The sequence below is a fragment of the Homo sapiens genome, chromosome 5, assembly GCF_000001405.40.
Source record: "Homo sapiens chromosome 5, GRCh38.p14 Primary Assembly".
In the NCBI taxonomy this organism is placed as follows: Eukaryota; Metazoa; Chordata; class Mammalia; order Primates; family Hominidae; genus Homo; species Homo sapiens.
The window spans coordinates 179,613,933-179,636,309 of NC_000005.10; the positions used below are offsets into that span (position 1 = coordinate 179,613,933).

The 22,377-nt window shown below is 46.4% G+C and overlaps 1 protein-coding gene and 1 long non-coding RNA gene across 53 annotated transcripts in view, besides 6 other annotated features; one reads left to right on the forward strand and one right to left on the reverse strand.

The window, feature by feature from the left end:
* The window catches only part of LOC128966623 (uncharacterized), a 130,785-nt gene that overhangs the window by 91,476 nt on the left and 16,932 nt on the right, over positions 1-22,377 (forward strand).
* On the reverse strand, positions 246-20,852 carry HNRNPH1 (heterogeneous nuclear ribonucleoprotein H1). Of its 52 annotated transcripts, none has more exons than NM_001364233.2 (15): positions 20,517-20,852; positions 20,133-20,225; positions 9,105-9,232; positions 7,310-7,465; positions 6,960-7,103; positions 5,337-5,475; positions 4,213-4,391; positions 4,057-4,128; positions 3,867-4,000; positions 3,582-3,717; positions 3,119-3,178; positions 2,937-3,026; positions 2,194-2,286; positions 1,614-1,663; positions 246-1,027 (listed from the first exon to the last, which is right to left on the reverse strand). In NM_001364233.2, the coding sequence occupies exons 3-14, from the start codon at positions 9,199-9,201 to the stop codon at positions 1,614-1,616; spliced, it is 1,350 nt and encodes a 449-aa protein (NP_001351162.1). In that variant the 5' UTR covers positions 9,202-9,232; positions 20,133-20,225; positions 20,517-20,852; the 3' UTR covers positions 246-1,027. The 52 variants fall into 52 exon arrangements, with proteins under 52 accessions (NP_001351162.1, NP_001351154.1, NP_001351163.1 ...); NM_001364225.2 differs by lacking the exon at positions 1,614-1,663 and adding an exon at positions 10,046-10,183; NM_001364234.2 differs by adding an exon at positions 10,046-10,183 and having other exon boundaries at positions 20,133-20,852.
* Positions 9,511-9,680: an enhancer, noted in NCBI's record as "active region_23754". NCBI's record gives its function as "activates an Ori minimal core promoter by ATAC-STARR-seq in GM12878 lymphoblastoid cells {active_cell/tissue: GM12878}" and the evidence as "EXISTENCE:reporter gene assay evidence [ECO:0000049][PMID:35858748]".
* Positions 9,736-10,030: an enhancer, noted in NCBI's record as "tiled region #11836; HepG2 Activating DNase unmatched - State 1:Tss, and K562 Activating DNase matched - State 1:Tss". NCBI's record gives its function as "activates a minimal TATA promoter and a strong SV40 promoter by Sharpr-MPRA in HepG2 and K562 cells {active_cell/tissue: HepG2 | K562}" and the evidence as "EXISTENCE:reporter gene assay evidence [ECO:0000049][PMID:27701403]".
* Positions 9,736-10,565: a biological region, named in NCBI's record as "Sharpr-MPRA regulatory region 11836".
* Positions 9,780-10,565: an enhancer, noted in NCBI's record as "NANOG-H3K27ac-H3K4me1 hESC enhancer chr5:179050713-179051498 (GRCh37/hg19 assembly coordinates)". NCBI's record gives its function as "activates a minimal SCP1, AML or CMV promoter by ChIP-STARR-seq in primed H9 embryonic stem cells {active_cell/tissue: H9 hESC(primed)}" and the evidence as "EXISTENCE:reporter gene assay evidence [ECO:0000049][PMID:30033119]".
* Positions 10,566-11,350: an enhancer, noted in NCBI's record as "NANOG-H3K27ac-H3K4me1 hESC enhancer chr5:179051499-179052283 (GRCh37/hg19 assembly coordinates)". NCBI's record gives its function as "activates a minimal SCP1, AML or CMV promoter by ChIP-STARR-seq in primed H9 embryonic stem cells {active_cell/tissue: H9 hESC(primed)}" and the evidence as "EXISTENCE:reporter gene assay evidence [ECO:0000049][PMID:30033119]".
* Positions 18,572-19,072: an enhancer, noted in NCBI's record as "H3K27ac hESC enhancer chr5:179059505-179060005 (GRCh37/hg19 assembly coordinates)". NCBI's record gives its function as "activates a minimal SCP1, AML or CMV promoter by ChIP-STARR-seq in naive H9 embryonic stem cells {active_cell/tissue: H9 hESC(naive)}" and the evidence as "EXISTENCE:reporter gene assay evidence [ECO:0000049][PMID:30033119]".

Sequence of the window (22,377 nt, forward strand, 5' to 3'; positions counted from 1 at the left end):
TTTGTTTTGTGCAAGTGCTTAATGAGTTACAGGCAGTTCAGATCAGGTCCTGTGCAGCCAAATGACATACAGCCCTTCCACCAGGGCCCCAAAGACGAGTTTACCTTCAGTTGCACTGGAGGGAAGACTGAAGACATCTACGCAACAGCCTCAACTGCCAAGCCAGAGATGTGGCCCTAGGCCCCAGGTGGGCACAGAGCACCAAGACTCAGTCCACATGACACTGAAGCACAGACAAGACAGAGTGCAGTTTTTAAAAGGAGGATTTATTTGACAAGTTTCACTTAGCGCAATATACCTAAAAGGAAATCACAATACAATGAAAGATTTAAATCAAGGCCTCAGAATTTCATACAAACACCAAGACCAAAATCCTAAGTATTGGTATTGCGTCTCAAATTTTTCCCATTAACTTAAAAAAAAAAAAAGCTTAAACTTACGTGCCTTACAGGTTATTAAATGAAACTAGAATTAACAAACATGCCAAAATGTTTCACTTTTAATAGTAGACACAGCTCCTATATTGTTTTACAAAAAAATAAAAGCATGTCTTTCAACATGCATCCAAAACAGTGTTCAATTTAACGTGGCAAAGGGCAACATTTAACATAATTCAACTGCTTTTACCTAAATACGCTTACTGCTTAAGTACATCCTATAACTAACTTGAGAAAAGCTGGAACTTAAGTTTAACAGTTATAGTTTACTCAGCTTCACTGTTACATCCTAGATGAGTATTGTATTCAAAAATACTGGGCCTTAAGTCTTCATAACAATCCTGATTTCCACTTAGAGTAAGCATAAATCACAAGCTTGTATTGCAGAAACTGTTAAACTGAAGTTTTCTTAAAGAAAAAAAAAAAAAAAAAAAAAAGGTTGACCAAGAGTCAGTGATCAGGATCGATCAATTACATTCCCCATCCACCACTCATACTGGACATGCTAGACAACCCTCCCATTCCGTTCACGCCCATAGATGCACGGCTTCCACTACTGTAGTAGCTGCTGTTCACTGCTCCTTGGTTACCTGCAAAGAGATCAATTTGACAAGTTAGGAGTAATATCAGACTACCAGTCAAATAAAATATAGTATTCCAAGAAAAAGTTTAAAAAGTATACGAGTACAAATGGCTGCTGTCCAAGTGGCGAGACGCATGTTTGGGAAAGGGGAATCCCGACTCCAAACAAGCCTCAATTAACCCCTTTTCTCTGCAGTACCAACTTGCCAGACTCTTGTGCTACCATTTTAACGGATTCTTCAGGATCAACATGAAAAATTAAGTTTAAAGGAAAACTAGTGTTTTTCAAAAATTGCAAAATTACTTCGTATTTTTAAAGCTAAACAAGGCATTTTTAAAAAAAATTTAACATAAACATTCACAATGTGTCCCTCGAATGGCATTTGAGAAAAGGGAGCACAGGGGAAGTCTCTTGCTTTTCCTATTCATGGTGGGCAGGAAGTGAGACAACCAAGCTGGACTAAAGGCAACTCACTGTGCCCAAATGGCAGCCTCCATGGAGTTAAGTCAGAGCCATTGACTGCTATAGAAAGCATTATTACAACATATCAGTATTTGCTATTGGGAATTTATATTTTTTGAGAAAATATTTACCTATGCAATGTTTGATTGAAAATCACTGGAGTTTTCCTGTAAAACTTGGTCTGCAAAAGGATTTTGTAGGGTAAGACTATAATACCAAAATCACCATTCTTTAGACCAATTGAAAAAAAATAAATAAAACCAATCCTAGGTTAACTGACTAATAAATACGATCCTGAACCCAACCACCATTCTACTATTTCAAATTCTCCCTCTGTCTAAAACTGACTTAATGCTAACCAAAAGACAAAAAAGTGAACAACTTTATTTAATGTTTTAATACATGGAGGCAGATATTTTCTGGCTCGACAGTATTCCAAAGCTGCAATGACTAGTTCTTAATTCAAAGAACACTTCCCCCTCCCAATGATTGTTTCTGAAAATTAGCTAGTAAAAACAGTTACATTTGGATTGAAAGCATACATTTCATAACCCAATTTCACCGAAAGGAGCCTGCATCTTCCCAACTAAAGGCACCTGCCTGCGACTTACTCTAAGTACAGTAACAGGCTTTACCATAACTTACTCTAAGTACAGTAATGAACAGGCTTTACCATAACTTACTCTAAGTACAGTAACAAACAGGCTTTACCGTATCCACTCATGCTGCTCTGGCCACCGTAGCCGCCTCCGTAACCCCCACTCAGCTGCTGGCTGGCTGGGCCCCCGTAGCTGGACTGGTTTGCTGTTAAGTTAAGAAAACATTAGAACCTTTTTTCTTATGTGATGTGGTACCTGGTGGTACCGGGCTTGTAATTCTATAGCTATCATTTTCCAGTCTTGATCTTACATTACTGTAACCCTCTGCCTCCTTCTGCCTACTGTCTATAACCAGGCCACCCTTCTATCCATCATTTGAGCCAGTCAAATATTGATAAACCAAAGTGCTAACGGTACACACATCAGCAGGACTAAAATCAACATGATTCCGTAAGTAGAGGCATTTTGTGAAGATCTTATGAAACTGCTTGACTGGATTTAGTGGGTTCCCCCTCAGTTTGATACATCAAAGGCATGTCAATACACCTAATTATGCCCACATTTATCTTAATCCTGTTTTGCTATTGATTTAAACTTTATACTTAGAAAATTTAAGTAGTTTCACTCCGTAGTCCCCTCCCCCAAGACTACTTAAACCTAATTTGAATTATCTATCCTAAGGAACTTCATAACTCACAAGGATTTAAGTAAGCCAGATACAAAACTCAAATATCAAGAAACTGCTTTGCCTAAGTTTCTTATGCTAAACTTATTAAATAAATAGATTAACTTAACTTATAATTGACTTATACAGATATAAACGTTTTGGTTTTTAAAAAAACTAACGATATTTACACAAGCCCATGCCTCCCATCATTTGGCTACCATAAGCACCACCGCTTGCTCCTGCTGTAGAATTCAAGAAGAGTTCTACATATCTGTGTTCTGAAATGAGAGAAAAGGCATACAAGGTTAGCTTAAAAAAAAGACACTAAAGTGATATTTACACAAACCCATGCCTCCTAGCATTTGGCTACCGTAAGCACCACCGCTTGCTCCTGCTGTAGAATTCAAGAAGAGTTCTACATATCTGTGTTCTGAAATGAGAAAAAAAAAGTTTGAAAATGTTTGTTGGTGAAACAAAACAGAATAAGCACTTTTATAAAGTTTTTAAACAAGCAGATCTGTGAACTTCAAATACTTTGGCAAAGAAATTCTAGCTACTTCTCTTAGGTGATCTACTTTAACTCCAAAATCTAGCCTTTACATATTCATCTGTATTGTCAATTAAGGATATACACTTCAAGATGTGCATATCACAAATCCGTTATACTAATTTTTAAAACCCAAACCTTCAACACACTGCCCCCGCATCCCCCAAGAATTAATCTATTACTGGAGAGGAAACTTCTCATATATCCTTATTTTTCCATTTCTCTATTGTAAATGTTAGTCACACAATCACCTGTTAAGAGCCCACAAATGCTCAATCACACTTACGCATATTTGCTTTGTCTTTTGACATAGCTGCCACAGCATCTTCATGAGTTGCGAACTCGACATCTGCTTCACCAGTTACTCTGCCATCAGGACCAATTTCAATGTGTACTCTCACAGGGTTGAGCGGTGAAAAAAACTACAACACAAGGCATTTCAAAGAATTCAACCAACTTTCTAACGTTACAAAAAAAACCTAAAATTTCTAACATAGTGCTCACATTTATAGAATAAGGCTGACTTACTGCCATACTGAAATATTGACTTGTGAGTTCATCTCACACTTACATTATAAATGTCATTCTCAGTAGCTCTGTAAGGTAATCCCCGCATGTGTACACAGTGTCCTGTTGTGCTCTGGAAAGTAGAGCCACCATCCCCGTATCTGTGATCAGACATTCCTGAAAAACAGTAATTGAGGTCTAGATGGACAAGAGTGTAAGCATCCTTCAACTGAGAAATTCAATTCTTACCTTACCTCTTCCAAATCTATCTGACCCAAATCCATAGCCATCATTATAGCCATTGTAATCATCATAGCCTCCATAGCCTGAAAGACAAAGTACAATCAATCAAATAAAACACCTAGACAAAGGAACAGACGACTTGCCGAACCTTACGAATCCTCACGTACCTCCACCATAAGCACCACGCCTCATCCTCTCAAAGCCAGCTCCTCTGCCAATGCTGTTATACCCTCTACCAGCCCCAGGTCTGTCATAAGGACCTGGCCGCTGCATGGCCATAAGCTTTCGTGGTGGATCATAATGAGTTCTAACTTCAGCTCTACTGCTCTTAAAGATTTCAATATACCTAAAGCATTGTTCATAAGGAAGGGGTAGGGAGGGGAGAGAAAACATTAGTTCATTTTATACAGGTATTTAGTTATACAAGAAAACAATCTAGTCATAGCCATGAAACTGACTAATATTTAAAGCCAGATTTCTTATATTTGCATAGGCAATGACCAGAAATTCACTCAATAAATAGTAAGACAATGTAAACTTTATAGAAAAAAAAAAAAAACTCACTCCTCTGAGGCAGAGCCCAACCTTAGGGGTAGAGAGGAGTACTGTAAATAAATGTTTTAGGAGGGAAATAATTCCACTCAACTTTCAACATTTCAAGTCTTAAATCCATTGGCAGCATGTATAGCAAGTGGGCTAAAAAGCCAGCCTCCACCAACAGTCCAGCCCACACTACACATTTCCTTTCGCCAATAAATACCCCAGCCTATGCTTTTAGTAAGAATCAGCATAGGTAAGCGCATGCTTCAATGAAAAATAGTCACAAGCAAAGAGAATAAAACCTTTTGTGACAATTTCTTGAAAGCTATGCTTATTAATACTATGCAGAATATTTATATACAGCAAGAAAAAGTTTGTTGCATTTCAACTTTAAAAACAAGATCAGAAAGTATCACATTTTCTTATGGTAATATTAATTTATTCTAGGTGGGTGTTATTACAGCTAAAGCCAGGTTTGCATTAATTTTTTAAAGCCATAGTCTCTCAACTCTATTGATTGGGGTTAATAAGACTCACAAAATTGTCAAGCAGACCAATTAACTAGGGACAAATTTCAAACCTAAAATTTAGTTTGCGTGTAACGTGGGACTGACACAAGTTTGGAAATCATGGCAAAACATCAATTACCTAGGACTACAAAACATTAATTTCTTCTTTTAAGCAGAGAGAATATGGATTTAATTGTTTACCATAAGAAAAGTGACATATCCAACCAACCATCCATCCCCACCTGTGCCCTATTCTTTCCTTGTGTTTCTTTAGAGCCTTTTCAGCTATTTCCTGTGAAGCAAACTGCACGAAGGCCTCCCCCGTACTCCTCCCCTGGAAGTCCACCGGCAATGTTATCCCATTTGGCACGATTTCCAACCCTTCAACCCAAGGACAAATAACCCCAGTAGGGGGGCAATATTAACATCACAAGCCCAGAAATGATTCTTCTTATAGCTTTAAATAAACCAGAATTTTTAACTTTAGGTGAATGGTATGCTTTCAACAAGTACTCTTTAAATATGCATTGCAATAATATGAAGTTCCATTATTATAAAGTATAACTATTCTTAACACACCCATGGTACAGTATATATTAAAAAAAACTTGCTGAACACAGGATGCATTAAGAATTCAACAACTTAAGAACACATATCTATGCAACTTAATGTTGAGAATTATACAATTCAATTAAGTTTTAAGCATTAAATAACAGTTTTACTAAATTCAAAACACCTTTTACCTCATTTTATATTTCAATGCTTTAAGTTATTGGAACTTCAAGTTTTTAAAAAGGTATACATTTACAACATTTCATATAAAAACTGAAACATTAAATTATAATTGACAAACACAACAATCTAAACTTTCAACAAAACTGATCTACACAGCACAATCATGCATGCTTATGCTCTAACAGTAGTTATGATTCACTTCTGGAAATTCCGTCTATGAAAAATCCTTTCCGTGGATACATTCCCAAGCTTACAAAAAGGACTTAAAGCACTTTCCTAGAAGATATGAAATTATGTTCATATTTAACGTTGACAGCATTCAATTCTCACCAATTTAGTGTCAAAACAAAACAGACTTGATTTTAAAAATTCTGACATTAGGACTCGATACATATATCAATTTTTAACATACTACACTAAACCATGAAAGGATTTCCTGCTTCCAGCGTATCACATCATAAATATTAATACTTAAAATATACGATATCTTATCTAACATTGTTAAACATGCAATCTTATCAGCTCTTCAGCATAAAAACATTCAAATACTTTAGGCCCAGGAACAATTTCAAAACACTTATTTCAGATACTGAGACTACAAGCATTCAAACTACTCTCACTACATCTGATTTTCAGTAAGTTTATACCACACAGGTTAAACCAAGTCTTTCATAAACCGACTTTTGCATTAAAGAGAATTAGACCATTAGATGCTTCTGGTCACATGACCCAAATACGTGTCTCTTGCAACACAGACACTTGCCATAATTTACAACAACCTAATTCATCGCACTGATGATCTGCTGGTAAAGGGATCTTACCTTTAACTTGAGGTACTTAGCTGGACACCAATGTGAGGAAAGTAGTTAAGCTGTTGAGGGCAATCCTCAATGAAAGATCTACTCTGAACTATAATACTAAATATAGGCAAAGTTAACATTTTGGAAGTACTTCATTTCCACCTTTAAGATGGGCTTAAATTATTTGAAGGTCTCTAGGAAGAAAACATTAATTCATTGGCAATTTACAACCTACTGAAATACCTAAGCTACTCAACTTTAACGTCTATTAAATCACCTTGCCATAAGCTAGCCAAAACTCACTGCTCAGCAACAAACATGACTACATACCTGAGAAGAACTGAACAATTTCTTCCTTGCTACATCCAAAGGGAAGTCCTCTAAGCCGTACAAAGCCATCATTGGCCGTGTCAGGACTATTTGGACCAGTATGCTTCAACACCCAATCCATTTCAACGTTGTTTGACTTGAATACTGAAAGAGGTGCTTAGAATTAGTCACTTTTGGAAAATTAGATAACAAAGTTCAGACTTCCTGGGTCTTTAGATAAGCTAGGAAGAGCTGCCACAAACTCCCTTAGATGACCATTTCCATGCAGTCAAATACCTAAAATTCAGAAGGGGTGAGACCTCTATTGTTTAATGCTTTATTTACTGTAACTAGGGCAATGTAAATCAAACCTTCAACATATCTGTGTCCCATAGTTTCTCTGTCTTTTTTCAGGGCCAATTTGACTTCATCTTCTGATTCAAGTTCAACAAAAGCCTCGCCACTTGGTCTGCCTTCTCTGGTGTAGATGAAACGAATACCTTGAGCCCCATTTTGAATTTTGCAGTCTGGAAAGAAAACAACCGTTAATACAGAATTTAAAACCTAAAACCACCTCTGGGTGACACAGATGAAATGTCTATTCCATGTCCCCACTACAAATTACATAACTTGTGAAGCCTATATATACTGACCACGATATTACCAACTCCTAAAACTCCAATTAAAAAAAAACAAACTCATTCCTAAGGTGATATATTTCCAACCCATCAACAACATACAATATTCAAAGCAGTTTCAGAATGAATTTATCTCTTTAGTCCTTGCTACTCATGTCTACATCACACATCTTTTATCAATTTCTCAGAAGATTATCAAGCCTGGACTGTGTGACTTTACGGCAAACATACTTCGTTGCGAGCTGTTTTGGTCTGGGGCATTTATCCGTTTTACCTTACCAGTAGCCACATTACGGTTTCTCATTCAAATTCAAATTACAAGCCCAATACTCACCTGAAAGGGGATCAGTGTTACCAAGCTAAAATGCTCCAAGTTGCACAGCTGAAGCCAAACCCAGTGTTGCCCCCTGCAAGGCGGCTTCCAGCGTACTTGGTTCTTGTTTTACAGGTCGCTTTCCGTTACCAACGCTAAATTCAGATAGTAAGTCAATACTACAAACGTCTTGCCAAAAGCTGTTAATTTCATCCAAATAGAATTTTAATCAGTCTAATTTCTTTTTCCCAGTCTAATAATAGGAACAAGGACATTCTGATAGAAAATATTCAGGAAACCTATGTACTGCAAAAACACTTCCCTGGGCTTCAGTGTCTTCAACTGTATAGTGAGCCAGATTAAGAACTAGATAAGAAAACACTCTTCAATTATCAAATCTTGATTAGGAAAACTGAAATTAAGACGTGACATTTTAACTTTCCGAAGAATGCTCCTTTTTAAGAAAACACCAAAACTGGAAACAAGAGGTTACACTTCAAGATATTGCAAAACATTACTATTATTTGTCTAATCACTCGGCCATTTTCTCAAGATTGAGGAGGAAATCCCACCTATGCCAATTTATCCTTTCGAAAAAAGACACCCGGGCCAGGCGCGGTGGCTCACGCCTGTAATCCCAGCATTTTGGGAAACCGAGGTGGGCGGATCACTTGAGGTCAGATGTTCGAGACCAGCCTGGCCAAAATAGTGAAACCCCGTCTCTACTAAAAATACAAAAATTAGCCGGGCGTGGCGGTGCGCGCCTCTAGTCCCAGACACTCGGGAGACTGAGGCAGGAGAATCGCTTGAACCCAGGAGGCGGAGGTTGCAGTGAGCCGAGAACGCGCCACTGCACTCCAGCTTGGGTGACAGAGACTCCAACTCAAAAGAAAAAGAAAAAAAGACACCCATAAAAGAAAAGCTGGTGTTCAAAGATAGGTAAAGAAAACAAAGTCTGCCAAACCTGCCGCACTCCCCCAAGGGCCAGGAGGACGGGCGGGGCTTTCGAAATTTCCATTGCGTAACAGCGGGCCGCCGGGCGCGAGCAGCACAGCGGTGAGTGTAGTCGCCCGCGCCTCGCCAGGGGGCGCCCCGGGTCCCACCCGGCCCGGCCCGGCCCGGCCCGCCCCGCCCCGCCCCGCCCCAGCCCGGCCGCCCGCCAGCCCGCCCGCCCCGGCCTCGAACTCGAACTCCCGCGTCCTAGTTCTAACTCACCAGAAAAAAACCTCTGCACTTCATCGGCCGAGCAAGACCAGGGCAAGCCCCGGACCTTCACCACGAATCCCTCTCCACCTTCCGTGCCCAACATCATCGTCTCTTACGCGGTCCGGCGTCGAAACAAACTGCAAAGCGGGGAGGACCAGAACTGAGAGCGCCAATTAAGCTGTCCTTCGCCTCCGAGGCGCGCCCGGGCCCGCACCGCCCCCCCACGGAGCAAAAACCGGGCGGATGCACCCACCCCGGCGACTCCAACACCTCCTCGTCCGGCGACCGGACCCCCAAAGCTGTCCTGAGCAACAGCTGTCGGCGCCCCGAACCGTGGGGGCCCGGGCCGAGAGCCAGCGTAGAGGAAAGGAAATGGCGGCGGCCGCTTCCGCTCCGCCTCCTCCGACTTCTCACACAATAGAGTCGGCGCGGCCTGCAGGCCTCAGCGGCGGTGCCGAGATTCAGCGAACCACTCGCGGCTCTCGACGGCAGCCTGCAGCTCGCCAAGGTCCCCGTGGCCCTCCCAGAGATATGGGGACAAACAATCCTCGCAAAAACGGTACCCACCGTGGTCGCTGAACTGCAAGCGAGGACCCACCGCGACTCACCTAGACACGCGACTTCTGCGTGGCTAAGACGAAATGGCCAGCGGGCGCCTGCGCAACCTAAATAAGGTCCCTTGTGCGAGTTCTGCGCACGCGCAGCCAGCTGCCCGCACCGCCCCGTTGCGTCACAAAGAGCTCTGGCGCATGCGTAATTTCAAGAGCCAGCCCACCTCCCGCCGGCGGATTATTACACGCTTGGGTTTTGGGCTCAGCACCCCCACCCATAAACCCGCCGGGCTTTTTGTTGCGCCTGCGCCTTCCCGCGAATATTGAACTTCGGAGTCCTAGCGGTTTATAATTATTTCATGCGCATGCGTCTTCCTTGAAACCGTTCTCTAGCCTTACCCGCCAGCGTGGGGGAGGGGAATGGCGGCCGCCTGTTCCCTATGGGACTGTATAGGAGTCCCGAGCTCTGGGTTGTGATGAGGTGGGCGTCTTTCTACCCCTTGCCCCCAGGCTCTTACCGGCGCGCTCCTGGCCGACCTGAAAGGAGGGGCGCGGCCTTCAGGCGTTCCCACTCCCCGCGCCGCCTGTCTTCCCTTTATCCCCAAACCGGCCGAAGCTGGTCAGCTGCAGATTGTCGAACGTCCTGGGAGCTGCGGGGCTGCGGACGTCCCGCGCCCGAAGCCACCCGTATGGTGCCTGGGGCACGTCCCAGCCCTGTGTGCCTCCACTTCCCCTTACCTGCCGTCGTCGGGCCTAGGGCCCCGGTCGGCGCGAGGTTTCCGTGCCTGTGGCTCGCGCCTGTACCCAGCTTTTGCCTAACGAATTCGCACCCTGTGTACCCCTTGACCCGCCTAACGGTCGGCAGGCCTTGACTGCCCTGGGGCCCTGGCACGAGGAGGGATCGCGAGCGCGGGCTCCACGGGTGCGCGCCGGCCTCTGCGCTCGGTAGGTTACCGCTGCATCTCCCAGAGCAGAATTGGTAAGAGTGCGTCCATTCACCAGGCGTAGACGCTGCATTCGAGGAGGCCCCCGGGTCACCCCATGTGCACACATGCTGCGAGATGACTAATGTTCGTGGTTTCTAGCAGCACTGCCCAAAACCTAAGATGCCGTAGCCTCCCAGGCCTCCCCATGTCTGATTTGGCTGCCTTCCTCACCCCAGCTTTAGTGGACACAGACAATACACAAATTAACAATAAGGTAGTGCTGGACCCTGCCGCAGAGCTACCTTAGCTAGTGCAAGCCTGAGTGCCACCCTGGGAAGATGCGGACAAAGCATGTTTCCAACCCCAGTGCCACAGAGTCCGAATCCAGTTTTGACAGGTTTGAGAAAAAGTAGAGAGGACATCAAAAGAAAGACAGGAGCCCAGAGCTAAGCAGGGCCTGATCTTCAAAGGCCACTTAGGCCTTGGCAAGGGTGTTATCTCCGAGAGAAGGCTTTGGCAGGTGATCAGCAGGGGAGCCGTAAACCCTGTGTAAAGGAAAACTCTTGCTGGATGTGAGGGGGATGCAGATGGAGCAGGCAGGGTGAATGACGGTACATACCAGGCCCTCTACTACAAACTGAACTAGAAGCACACACCTGTGGTACCATTTCAGAAGGCACTTTGGCTGAGGTAATCAAGAAGAGAGTCCGGCCAGGTGCGGTGGCTCACTCGTGTAATACCAGCATTTTGGGAGGCCGAGGCAGGCAGATCACTTGAGATCAGGAGTTTCAGACCAGCTTGGCCAACATGGTGAAACCCCATCTCTACTAAAGATACAAAAATTATCTATGCATGCACACGCCTGTAATCCCAGCTACTCTGGAGGCTGAGGCAGGAGAATCACCTGAACCCAGGAGGCAGAGGAAGCAGTGAGCTGAGATCACACCACTGCCCTCCAGCCTGGGCTACAAAGACTCCCTCTCAAAAAAAAAAAAAAAAAAAAATTAGCCAGGCATGGTGATGCATGCCTGTAATCCCAACCACTTGGCAAGACTGAGGCAGGAGAATCACTTAAACCCAGGAGGCAGCAGTTGCAGTCAGCTGAGATCACGCCATTGCACTCCAGCCTGGGCAATAAGAGCAAAACTCCGTCTCAAAAAAAAAAAAAAAAAGAATAGTAGTAAGGTAGAATACATTTCATACACTTATAGCCAATTCTCTTATATATAAATTGTCCAACTTATATTAAAACAAGGTTTTTAAATTTTTATTTTTTATTTGTTTGTTTGAGACACAGCCCGTCACCCAGGCTGGAGTGCAGTGGTGCAAACATGGCTCACCACAGCCTCTACCTTCTGGGCTCAAACAATCCTCCTGCCTCAGCCTCCTGAGTAGGTAGGACCACAGGCATGTGCCACCTTGCTCAGATTATTTATTTATTTATTTATTTATTTATTTATTTTTTGTAGCAATGGGGTCTCATTTTGTTGCCCAGGCTGGTCTTGAATTCTTGGGCTCAAGGAATCATTCCACCTCAGCCTCGCAGAGAAAGTGCTGGGATTACAGGTGTGAGCCACCATGGCTGGCAATGAAAGGTTTTTTTGTTTGGTTTTGTTTTTGAGACAGTCTAACTCTGTCACCCAGGCTGGAGTACAGTGGTGCAATCTTGGCTCACTGCAACCTCTGCCTCCTAGGTTCAAGCAATTCTCATGCCTTAGCCTCCCAAGTAGAGGGATTACAGGTGTGTGCCACCACACCTGGCTACTTTTTTTTAAGTTTTAGTTGAGATGGGGTTTTGCCATGTTGGCCAGGCTGGTCTGGAACTCCTGACCTCAAGTGATCTGCCTGCCTCGGCCTCCCAAAGTACTGAGATTACAAGCATGAGCCACCATGCTCGGCCAAAGGTTTTTTTAAATAAAAAGTTAATCATCAGCCCACGCGTGGGGCTCATGCCTGTAATCCCAGCACTTTGGGAGGCCGAGGCAGGTGGATCAAGAGTTCAGGAGTTAGAGACCAGCCTGACCAACATGGTGAAACCCCGTCTCTACTAAAAATACAAAAAGTAGCCGGGCATGGTGTCGCGTGCCTGTAATCCCAGCTACTCAGGAGGCTGAGGCAGGAGAATCACTTGAACCTGGGAGGTGGAGGTTGCAGTGAGCAGAGATTGCACCACTGCACTCCTGCCTGGGCAACAGAGCAGGACTCTGTCTTTAAAAAAAAAAAAAAAAATTCATCATCTTGCCTCAGTGGTCTTTATGTCTTGGTATACTTCTTTTTTTTTTTTTTTTTGAGACGGAGTCTCGCTCTGTCGCCCAGGCTGGAGTACAATGGCGCGATCTCCGCTCACTGCAAGCTCCGCCTCCCAGGTTCACACCATTCTCCTGCCTCAGCCTCCCGAGTAGAGTAGCTGGGACGACAGGCGCCCGCCACCACGCCCAGCTAATTTTCTTGTATTTTTACTAGAGACGGGGTTTCACCGTGTTAGCCAGGATGGTCTCGATCTCCTAACCTCATGATCCGCCCACCTCGGGCTCCCAAAGTGCTGGGATTATAGGTGTGAGCCACTGCGCCCGGCTAATGTCTTCGTATACTTCTTACAGTTTACAGAGCTCTTTATTAAGGCTGTTAGCCCTTAGGATAGTTGCCCCAGACATTCTTCTCAGTTTGCTTACCTTTTAATTATTTTTGTGGTTTTGTGGTGGTATTTTTTGTTTGTTTTACAGACAATGTCTTGTTCCGTGCAGTGACACAATCATAACTCACTGCAGCCTTGAACTCCTGGGCTCAAGCCATCCTCCAAGCTCAGCCTCCTGAGTAGCTGGGACTAAAGGCACTTTCAACCAGGCCCGACTAATTTTTTTTTTTTTTGTAGTGATGGGGGTCTCACTATGTTGCCCAGGCTAGTCTTGAATTCCTGGCGTCAAGCAATTCTCCCACCTTGGCCTCTCAAAGCCCTGGGATTATTCTACATGTGAGCCATGATGCTCGGCCCTGATTTATGCCTTTTTTTTTTTTAAGACAGGGTCTCACTTCGTCACTCAGGTTGGAGTGCAGGTATGTGATCTCGGCTCACTGCAACCTCCACCTCCCGGGTTCAAGCAATTCTTGTGCCTCAATCTCCCAAATTGCTGGGATATGCCAGGTGCAATGGCTCACACTTGTAATCCCAGCACTTTGGGAGGCTGAGGTGGGTGGATAACTTGATGTCAGGAGTTTCAGACATGTTGGCCAACATGGTGAAACCCTGTCTCTACCAAAAATACAAAAATTAGCCGGGCATGGTGGTGGGCGCCTGTAATCCCAGCTACTTGGGAGGCTGAGGCAGGAGAATCACTTGAACCCAGGATGTGGAGGTTGCAGTGAGCAGAGATCCTGCCACTGTACTCCAGCCTGGGCAACAGAGGGAGATTCCATTGCAAAAAAAAAAAAAGGAAAAAAATACCAAATAGCTGTGATTACAGGCATGCACCATCACACCCGGCTAATTTTTGTATTTTTAGTAGAGATGGGGTTTCACCATGTTGGCCAGGTTGATCTGGAACTCCGAACCTCAAGTGATCCATCCACCTTAGCCTCCCAAAGTGCTGTGATTACAGGTGTGAGCCACTGCACCCGGCCTATGATTGCTTTTTAATATTTGGACATATAGAAGTTTTAAATTTCTTGATGTCAAAGCCATGGATATGTTCCTTTGAGGTTTGTCTTTAAGTTTAGAAAGCCCTTTCCCATCCAGAGATTGAGCACATATTTGTTATCTTTAGTATCATTTGTAAGACACATTTTGTACAGCTTAGCCTCAATAAGATAGGAATGTGTTTTATTTATTTTCTTCTGCTTTTTTAAAAATTTGTATTTATTTATTTATTTTAGATGGAGTCTTGCTCTGTCACCCAGGCTGGAATGCAATGGCATGATCTCGGCTTACTGCAACCTCCACCTCCCAGATTCAAGCGATTCTCCTACCTCAGCCTCCAGAGTAGCTGGGTTTACAGGTGCCTGCCACCACACCCAGCTAATTTTTGTGTTTTTAGTAGAGACCGGGTTTTGCCATGTTGACCTCAGGTGATCCACCCACCTCAGCCTCCCAAATTGCTGGGATTACACGCATGAGCCACCGCACCTGGCCAGGAATGTGTTTTAAAACCAATGATATCAGCTGGGCATGGTGGCTCACCCTGTACTCCTAGCTCTCTGGGAGGCCATGGTGGGCTGATCACTTGAAGTCAAGAGTTCCAGACTAACCTGGCCAACACGGTGAAACCCCGTCTCTACTACATTATCACATCTCATCCTTTTGGCAAAGATCAAGTGTAGGAAAAAAGATAAATTAACCGGGTGTGGTGGCATACGTCTGTAATCCCAGCTACACAGGAGTGTGAGGTGGGAGGATGGCTTGAACCCCAGAGACAGAGGTTGCAGTGAGCCAAGATCACACCACTGCACTCCAGCCTAGGTGACAGAGCGAGACTGTGCCTCAAAGAAAAGAAAATAAATGCAATCATAAATAACCCGGCTGGGCGCGGCGGCTCACGCCTGTAATCCCAGCACTTTGGGAGGCCGAGGTGGGCAGATCACAAGGTCAGCAGATCGAGACCATCCTGGATAACACAGTGAAACCCCGTCTCTACTAAAAATACAAAAAATTAGCCGGGCGTGGTGGCGGGCGCCTGTAGTCCCAGCTACACGGGAGGCTGAGGCAGGAGAATGGCTCGAACCCGGGAGGCGGAGCTTGCAGTGAGCCGAGATCGCGCCATTGCACTCCAGCCTGGGTGACAGAGCGAGACTCCGTCTCAAAAAAAAAAAAAGTAATAATAATGATGATATGTCGCCCAGGCTGGAGTGCAGTGGCATGATCTTGGCTCACTGCAACCTCCCCCACCCAGGCTCAGGTGATCCTCCTGCCTCAGCCTCCCAACAAGTAGCTGGGACTATAGGCACATGCCACCATGCCAGGCTAATTTTTGTATTTTTAGTAGAGATAGGTTGGCCAGGCCGGTCTGGAACTCCTGAACTCAAGTGATCTGACTGCCTCGGCCTCCCAAAGTGCTGGGATTACAGGCATGAGCCACCATGCCAGGCCAGAATTTGTTCGTAGTAGTACAGAAAATAATGGTGGGACTTAAAATTGATGATATTTTAGATTTGATGGAAACTGTTATACTCCAATTATTTTATGTGAAGACATGTTATAGCCATTATAATTATATTTTCATGGATTTCTTAATAATATGAAGTAGACTGGGTGCAGTGGCTTACGCCTGTAATCCCAGCACTTTGGGAGGCCAAGGCAGGTGGATCACTTGACATCAAGAGTTGGAGACCAGCCTGGCCAACATGGTGAAACCCCGTCTCTACTAAAAAAATACAAAAATTAGCCAGGCATGGTGGCACTTGCCTGTAATCTCAGCTACTTGGAGGCTGAGGCAGGAGAATCACTTGAACCTGGGAGGCGGAGGTTGCAGTGAGACTAGATCACGCCACTACACTCGAGCCTCGGTGACAGAACGACTCTGTCTCAAAATAAAACAAAAAAACAGAACCCTGAGATTTGCAAAAGAAAATATGCAGATGACCGGGCTCATGCCTGTAATCCCAGCACTTTGGGAGGCCAAGGTGGGTGGATTACCTGAGGTCGGGAGTTCAAGACCAGCCTGACCAACATAGAGAAACCCTGTCTCTACTAAAAATACAAAAATTAGTCAGGCGTGCTGGCAGATGCCTGTAATCCCAGCTACTTGGGAGGCTGAGGCAGGAGAATCGCTTGAATGTGGGAGGCGGCGGTCGTGGTGAGCTGAAATCTTGCCATTGCACTCCAGCCTGGGCAACAACAGTGAAATTCTGTCTCAAAAAAATAAATAAATAAAAGAAAAAGAAAAAGAAAAGAAAATATGCAGATGATCCATAGGCTTGAGAAGTGTCCCTTTGAGTGGTAACCAAAGAAATGCAAATTAAATAAAATAACGCAAAGCCTTTGCAACTAATTTTCAAATTAATGATCATTTAAAAGAGTAATTAAGAGAGCTGGAAAGGATGCAGGGAGATGCCATCAAGGTACATTGTGCTTGGAGTGTAAATTGGTACACCCTCTCGCTCAGGGCTATTTGCAGTATAAATGCATACATTTCGGCCTGACGCGGGGGCTCACGCCTGTAATCCCAGCACTTTGGAGGGCCGAGGTGGGCGGATCACAAGGTCAAGAGATTGAGATCATCCTGGTCAACATGGTGAAACCCCGTCTCTACTAAAAGTACAAAAAATCAGCTGGGTGTGGTGACGGGCGCCTGTAGTCCCAGCTACTCAGGAGGCTGAGGCAGGAGAATGGCGTGAACCCGGGAGGCAGAGCTTGCAGTGAGCCGAGATCGTGCCACTGCACTCCAGCCTGGGCGACATCTCAAAAAAAAAAAAATCTCAAAAAAGAAACAAAAACAGCTCAAAAAAAAAACAAAAACAAAAATCAAAAAACATACATTTCATTAAAGCATACATTCCATTCCTACTTTTGCACTGATTTAATTACAAGATTGTTCATGGCAGCATGAAATAGGGAAGCTTTAGAAAACAATTTAATGTCTAATGAAGTATGGAATAAATTCTGGTATGAATGCATGGGGGTAGTGGGATGGGGAGGCTGTGAGGGGGAAGGAAATAAATCTTAGGTAACATAATGGTTTGTTGCCTTCCAAAGGGCCACAGGACATGAAAAGATATACGTTACGGTATATCTATGTTATTAAAATATCATGTGGTGGGAAACTAGGAAAAAAGATCTAGAAAGGATCTTTAAGATGGCGATCATGAAAAAAAAAGTTGAGAAAAAATGATCTAGGTTCCGTGTGGTGGCTCATGCCTATAATCTCAGTACTTTGGGAGGCCAAGGCAGGCACATCACCTGAGGTCAGGAGTTCAAGACCAGCCTGGGCAACATATTGAGGCCCCATCTCTACAAAAAGTTAAAAACATGCTGGGCGCGGTGGCTCACACCTGTAATCCTAGCACTTTGGGAGGCCGAGGCAGGCAAATTACCTGAGGTCGGGAGTTCAAGACCAGCCTGGCCAACATGGTGAAACCCCGCCTCTATTAAAAATACAAAAAATTAGCCAGGTGCAGTGGCGTAGGCCTGTAATCCCAGCTACTCAGGGGGCTGAGGCAGGAGAATTGTTTGAACCCAAGAATTGGACGTTGCGATGAGCTGAGTTCGCGCCACTGTACTCCAGCCTGGGCAACAAGAGCAAGACCTCAAAAAAAAAAATTTTTTTTTTAAATATTAGCCAGGCCTGGTGGCACATGCCTGTAGTTCCAGCTACTCAGGAGGTTGAGGTGGGAGGATCGCTTGAGCCCAGGAGGTGGAGGATGCAGTGAGCTGAGATCGCGCCCCTTAACTCCAACCTAGGCAAAGTGGGGAGACCCTCTCTCAAAACAAACAAACTTTAAATTTCTGAGTGATAAACAGCATCGGCCGCCTCCGGGACCTGCTCGGGTGGTACACTGCAAGCTGCGGAGACTTAAGAAAAGGGCGTCTCGGCCGGGCGCGGCGGCTCACGCCTGTAATCCCAGCACTTTGGGAGGCCGAGGCGGGCGGATCACGAGGTCAGGAGATCGAGACCATCCCGGCTAACACGGTGAAACCCCGTCTCTACTAAAAATACAAAAAAAATTATCCGGGCGTGGTGGCGGGTGCCTGTAGTCCCAGCTACTTGGGAGGCTGAGGCAGGAGAATGGCGTGAACCCGGGAGGCGGAGCTTGCAGTGAGCCAAGATCCCGCCACCGCACTCCAGCCTGAGTGACAGAGCGAGACTCCGTCTCAAAAAAAAAAAAAAGAAAAAAGAAAAGGGCGTCTCGGTTAGAGCCCGGGTATGGGGTAGCACCCCCTCCCCCGCCGCGGCCAGGCAGCACGGTCCGCCCTTGCGGCTGGGATCCCCGCGTCTCTCCGCCTTCGCTGGAGCCCCACTGTTGTGTTGAAGGAGACCGTCCTTCCGACGCCGAGTCCGGCTCCACAACCACGTAAACGAATTGTGGATTCAGACACCATGAGCGGCGGAAACAAAGGCGTCCCCACAGTGTCCAGCCGTCCGCTGAGGAGAAGGGTCTGCCCGACGGCCACCTGAGGAGGGACCGAGCACGCCCTCTCCGGTTCACGCTGCGCGCCTCCTCCAGGCGGACAACGCAGGCGGCCGGTTTTGAACTTTCCGGGTGCGAACCTCCCAAGGCTTCAGCCAGGTCACTCACTGTCTAAAGCCAAATCAAATATCTTTTTTTTTTTTTTTTTTTTTGAGACGGAGTCTCGCTCTTGTTGCCCAGGCTCAGCTTCCCGAGTAGGTGGGATTACAGCCCCACCAAGCCCGGCGAATTTTTTTTTTTTTTTTTTTTTTTTTGAGACGGAGTCCTGCTCTGTCGCCAGGCTGGAGTGCAGTGGCGCGATCTCGGCTCACTGCAACATCCAGCTCCTGTATTCAAGCGATTCTCCAGCCTCATTCTCCCCACTAGCTGGGAATACAGGCGCCCACCACCACGCCCAGCTAATTTTTTGTATTTTTAGTAGAGACGGGGTTTCACCATGTTGATCAAGATGATCTCAATCTCTTGACCTCGTGATCCACCTGCCTCAGCCTCCCAAAGTGCTGGGATTACAGGCGTGAGCCACCATGCCCAGTTAATTTTTGTATTTTCAGTAGAGATGGGGTTTCACCATGTTGGTCATGCTGGTGTTGAACTCCAGAGATCAGGTAATCCGCCGCCTCAGCCTCCCGAAGTGTTGGGATTACAGGTGTGAGCCACCACGCCCGGCCTGTTTGTTTGTTTGTTTGTTTGTTTGAGACAGTCTCACTTTATCGCCCAGGCTGGAGTGCAGTGGCACAATCTCGGCTCACTGCAAGCTCCGCCTCCCGGGTTCACGCCATTCTCCTGCCTCAGCCTCCCGAGTAGCTGGGACTACAGGCACCCGCCCCACACCCGGCTAATTTTTTTTTTTTTTTTTTTTTTTTGTATTTTTAGTAGAGACGGGGTTTCACCGTGTCAGCCGGGATGGTATCCATCTCCTGACCTCGTGATCCACCTGCCTTGGCCTCCCAAAGTGCTGGGATTACGGGCGTGAGCCACCGTGCCCTGCCTGTCCAAAAAATAAAATAAAAAGCCAGGCGCAGTGGCTCATGCCTGCAATATTAGCACTTTGGGAGGCCGAGGTGGGCAGATTGCCTAAGCTCAGTAGTTTGAGACCAGCCTGGGCAACACGGTGAAACCCTGTCCCTACTAAAACACAAAAATTAGCCAGGCGTCGCAGAGTGCACCTGTATTCCCAGCTACTCGGGAGACTGAGGCAGAATTGTTTGAACCGGGGAGGCAGAGGTTGCAGTGAGCCGAGTTCGGGCCACTGCACTCCACACTCCAGCCTGGGTGATAGAGCGAGACTCCGTCTCTAAAATAAATAAAATAAAATAAAATAAAATAAAATAACAAAGTAAGCAGTAAAACCATCCAGGCTTGGTAGTCACTATGGTGCTTTCCTCAGGGTCCCCTCCCACAGGCGGCTACTGAGGTCATTTTATCAGGCCCCCTGGGCTCACCTTTTGTTCCATCCCGCACAGGTGAGCCGTCTGGGCAGGCTTTGGCCAGCTTCGCGCAGGTGCCACTGCACAGACTCTCCCTTCAGAGCAGCGCTGGAGGACGGGGTCAGGAGTCAGTGCACAAATCCCTCCTGTCCTTGGGGCCGGGCAGCCACCGCGGCGGGGAGACCCCTCGCTAAGGAGGAGTGTTGGTGTTGCCTCTACTCGCCGGGTCGCCCAGGGCCCTTCACTTCCGAATCAACTCCCCACAGCCGCTGCTTTCAGGGGAAGCCAAGCCAAGTCACATACGGCACGCGCACTGGATCAAAATAATACACGCCTCGACATGCGCCAGACGGTATGTCTAGTATTTAAAGAGCAGGGCTGAAAATGAAAGGTCCTTACCCGGCTTCCTTGCGATTTTCCCACTGCTTCCCCGCGCCAGGGCCGCCTCCTCCGCGGTGCGCGGGAGTTCGGGGAGCGCGCGCCCCCTGCCGGCCGGCCGGAGCGCGGGGCGGGTTTCGCGCCCTCCGTGACCTGGTAGAGCTTGGAATTGCTTCGCTTGTTCTCGCCCGAGGCTACTTTGAGGTTCTAAGTGACTCCCCGTTCCCCGGGTGCCTCGCCGTCGAGAAGCCCAAAGCTTCTCCATCTCCAGCGCTGGATGAGGCTCCCCTAGTTTTCCTTCTGCCCAGATACCCTGTGCTCTCACACAGGTCGTGCTGATGGCGGGGAACCGGGACTGCCGTTGTACGTGGCCTGGAGCTCACTTCCGCTCTCCCCCTCGCTGGACCTCTGACCGCAGGTCTCTGAGTCTGTTTCTTGGAGATTTGGGATAGCTGGGAGGCCCCATGAGAGCGAGACGGTGAAGCTACCAGCAATGGGGTCTGGTTCTGATGTAGCCATTGACCCCAGCTTGCACAGCTGAGCTTGCACATTCCTCCTCTCCTCCCCAGCCCCTGCCCCCGCTCCCAGCTGTGGCTGCCCCATGTCCTCTCCAGACCACCCCGCACAGCTGTGGCTGCCCCATGTCCTCTCCAGACCACCCCGCACAGCTGTGGCTGCCCTCCCAGCCTCCCTCTCACACCGCTCTGTGTGACTTTGTCCTGTGCTTGCTCCTGACACATGGACTTCGCTTTATCTTTCTTTTTTTTTTTTAATTTTAATTAAAAAAAAAATTTTTTTTTTTGAGACAGAGTTTCTCTTTTGTTGCCCAGGCTGGAGTGCAATGGCGCACTTTCGGCTCACAGCAACCTCTTCCTCCTGGGTTCAAGCGATTCTCCTGCCTCAGCCTCCCGAGTAGCTGGGATTACAGGCATGTACCACATGCCCGGCTAATTTTGTATTTTTAGTAGAGACAGGGGTTCTCCATGTTGATCAGGCTGGTCTCGAACTCCTGACCTCAGGTGAACCGCCCACCTCAGCCTCCCAAACTGCTGGGATTGCAGGCATGAGCCACCGCGCCCGGCCTCAATTTATCTTTTATACTTGCCCAGGGCCAAAGGGAAGTCTTACATTAGTCAAACTCACCAGATTCAGTAAAAACTCAACCCTAAAATAATTATTTGAGACCGTGCAGTGGCTCACGCCTATAAGCCCAACAATTTGGAAGGCTCAGAGGTAGGCTTACTTGAGCCCAGGACCTCAAGACCAGCCCAGGGGGCCAGGCGCCGTGGCTCACGCCTGTAATCCCAGCACTCTGGGAGGCCCAGGTGGGTGGATCATGTGGTCAAGAGATCGAGACCATCCTGGCCGACATGGGGAAACCCCGTCTTTACTAAAAATACAAAAATTAGTGTGATGGCGCCCGCCTATAGTCCCAGCTACTTGGGAGGCTGAGGCAGGAGAATTGCCTGAACCCGGGAGGTGGAGGTTGCAGTGAGCCGAAATCGTGCCACTGACTCCAGCCTGGCGACAGAGTGAAACTCTTGTCAAAAAAAGAAGAAGAAAAAAAAAAGAAACCCAGAAAACAAAACGAGTCTTCGTCTCTACAAAAAATTAAAAAATACTTAAAAAATAATTACTTGGGTGTGGTGGCACCTGCCTGTGGTCCCAGCCAGCTGGGAAGTTGAGATGGGAGGATAGCTTGGGCCCAGGAGTTGGAGGCTCCAGTGAACTGTGATTGTGCCACTGGACTCCAGCCTGCGTGACACAGCAAGATTCCACTTCTAAAAAATAATTATAATCTGTCAAATTTCGGGACAGATAATCTTGGCCTCCCAGCCCAAGATTTGATTTGATTTCATTTTATTTTAGAGACGGAGTCTCG

Bases quoted from the DNA above. Each gene is read 5' to 3' on its own strand.
- HNRNPH1 (NM_001364225.2), bottom strand. From the start codon at position 9,201: ATGATGTTGGGCACGGAAGGTGGAGAGGGATTCGTGGTGAAGGTCCGG. The intron at 7,104-7,309 runs GTTTGATTTACA...CACCTCTTTCAG, and splicing joins GGGACACAGATATGTTGAAG to TATTCAAGTCAAACAACGTT. The intron at 5,476-6,959 runs GTATGTAGTCAT...CTTGGGTTGAAG, and splicing joins AATTGTTCAGTTCTTCTCAG to GGTTGGAAATCGTGCCAAAT.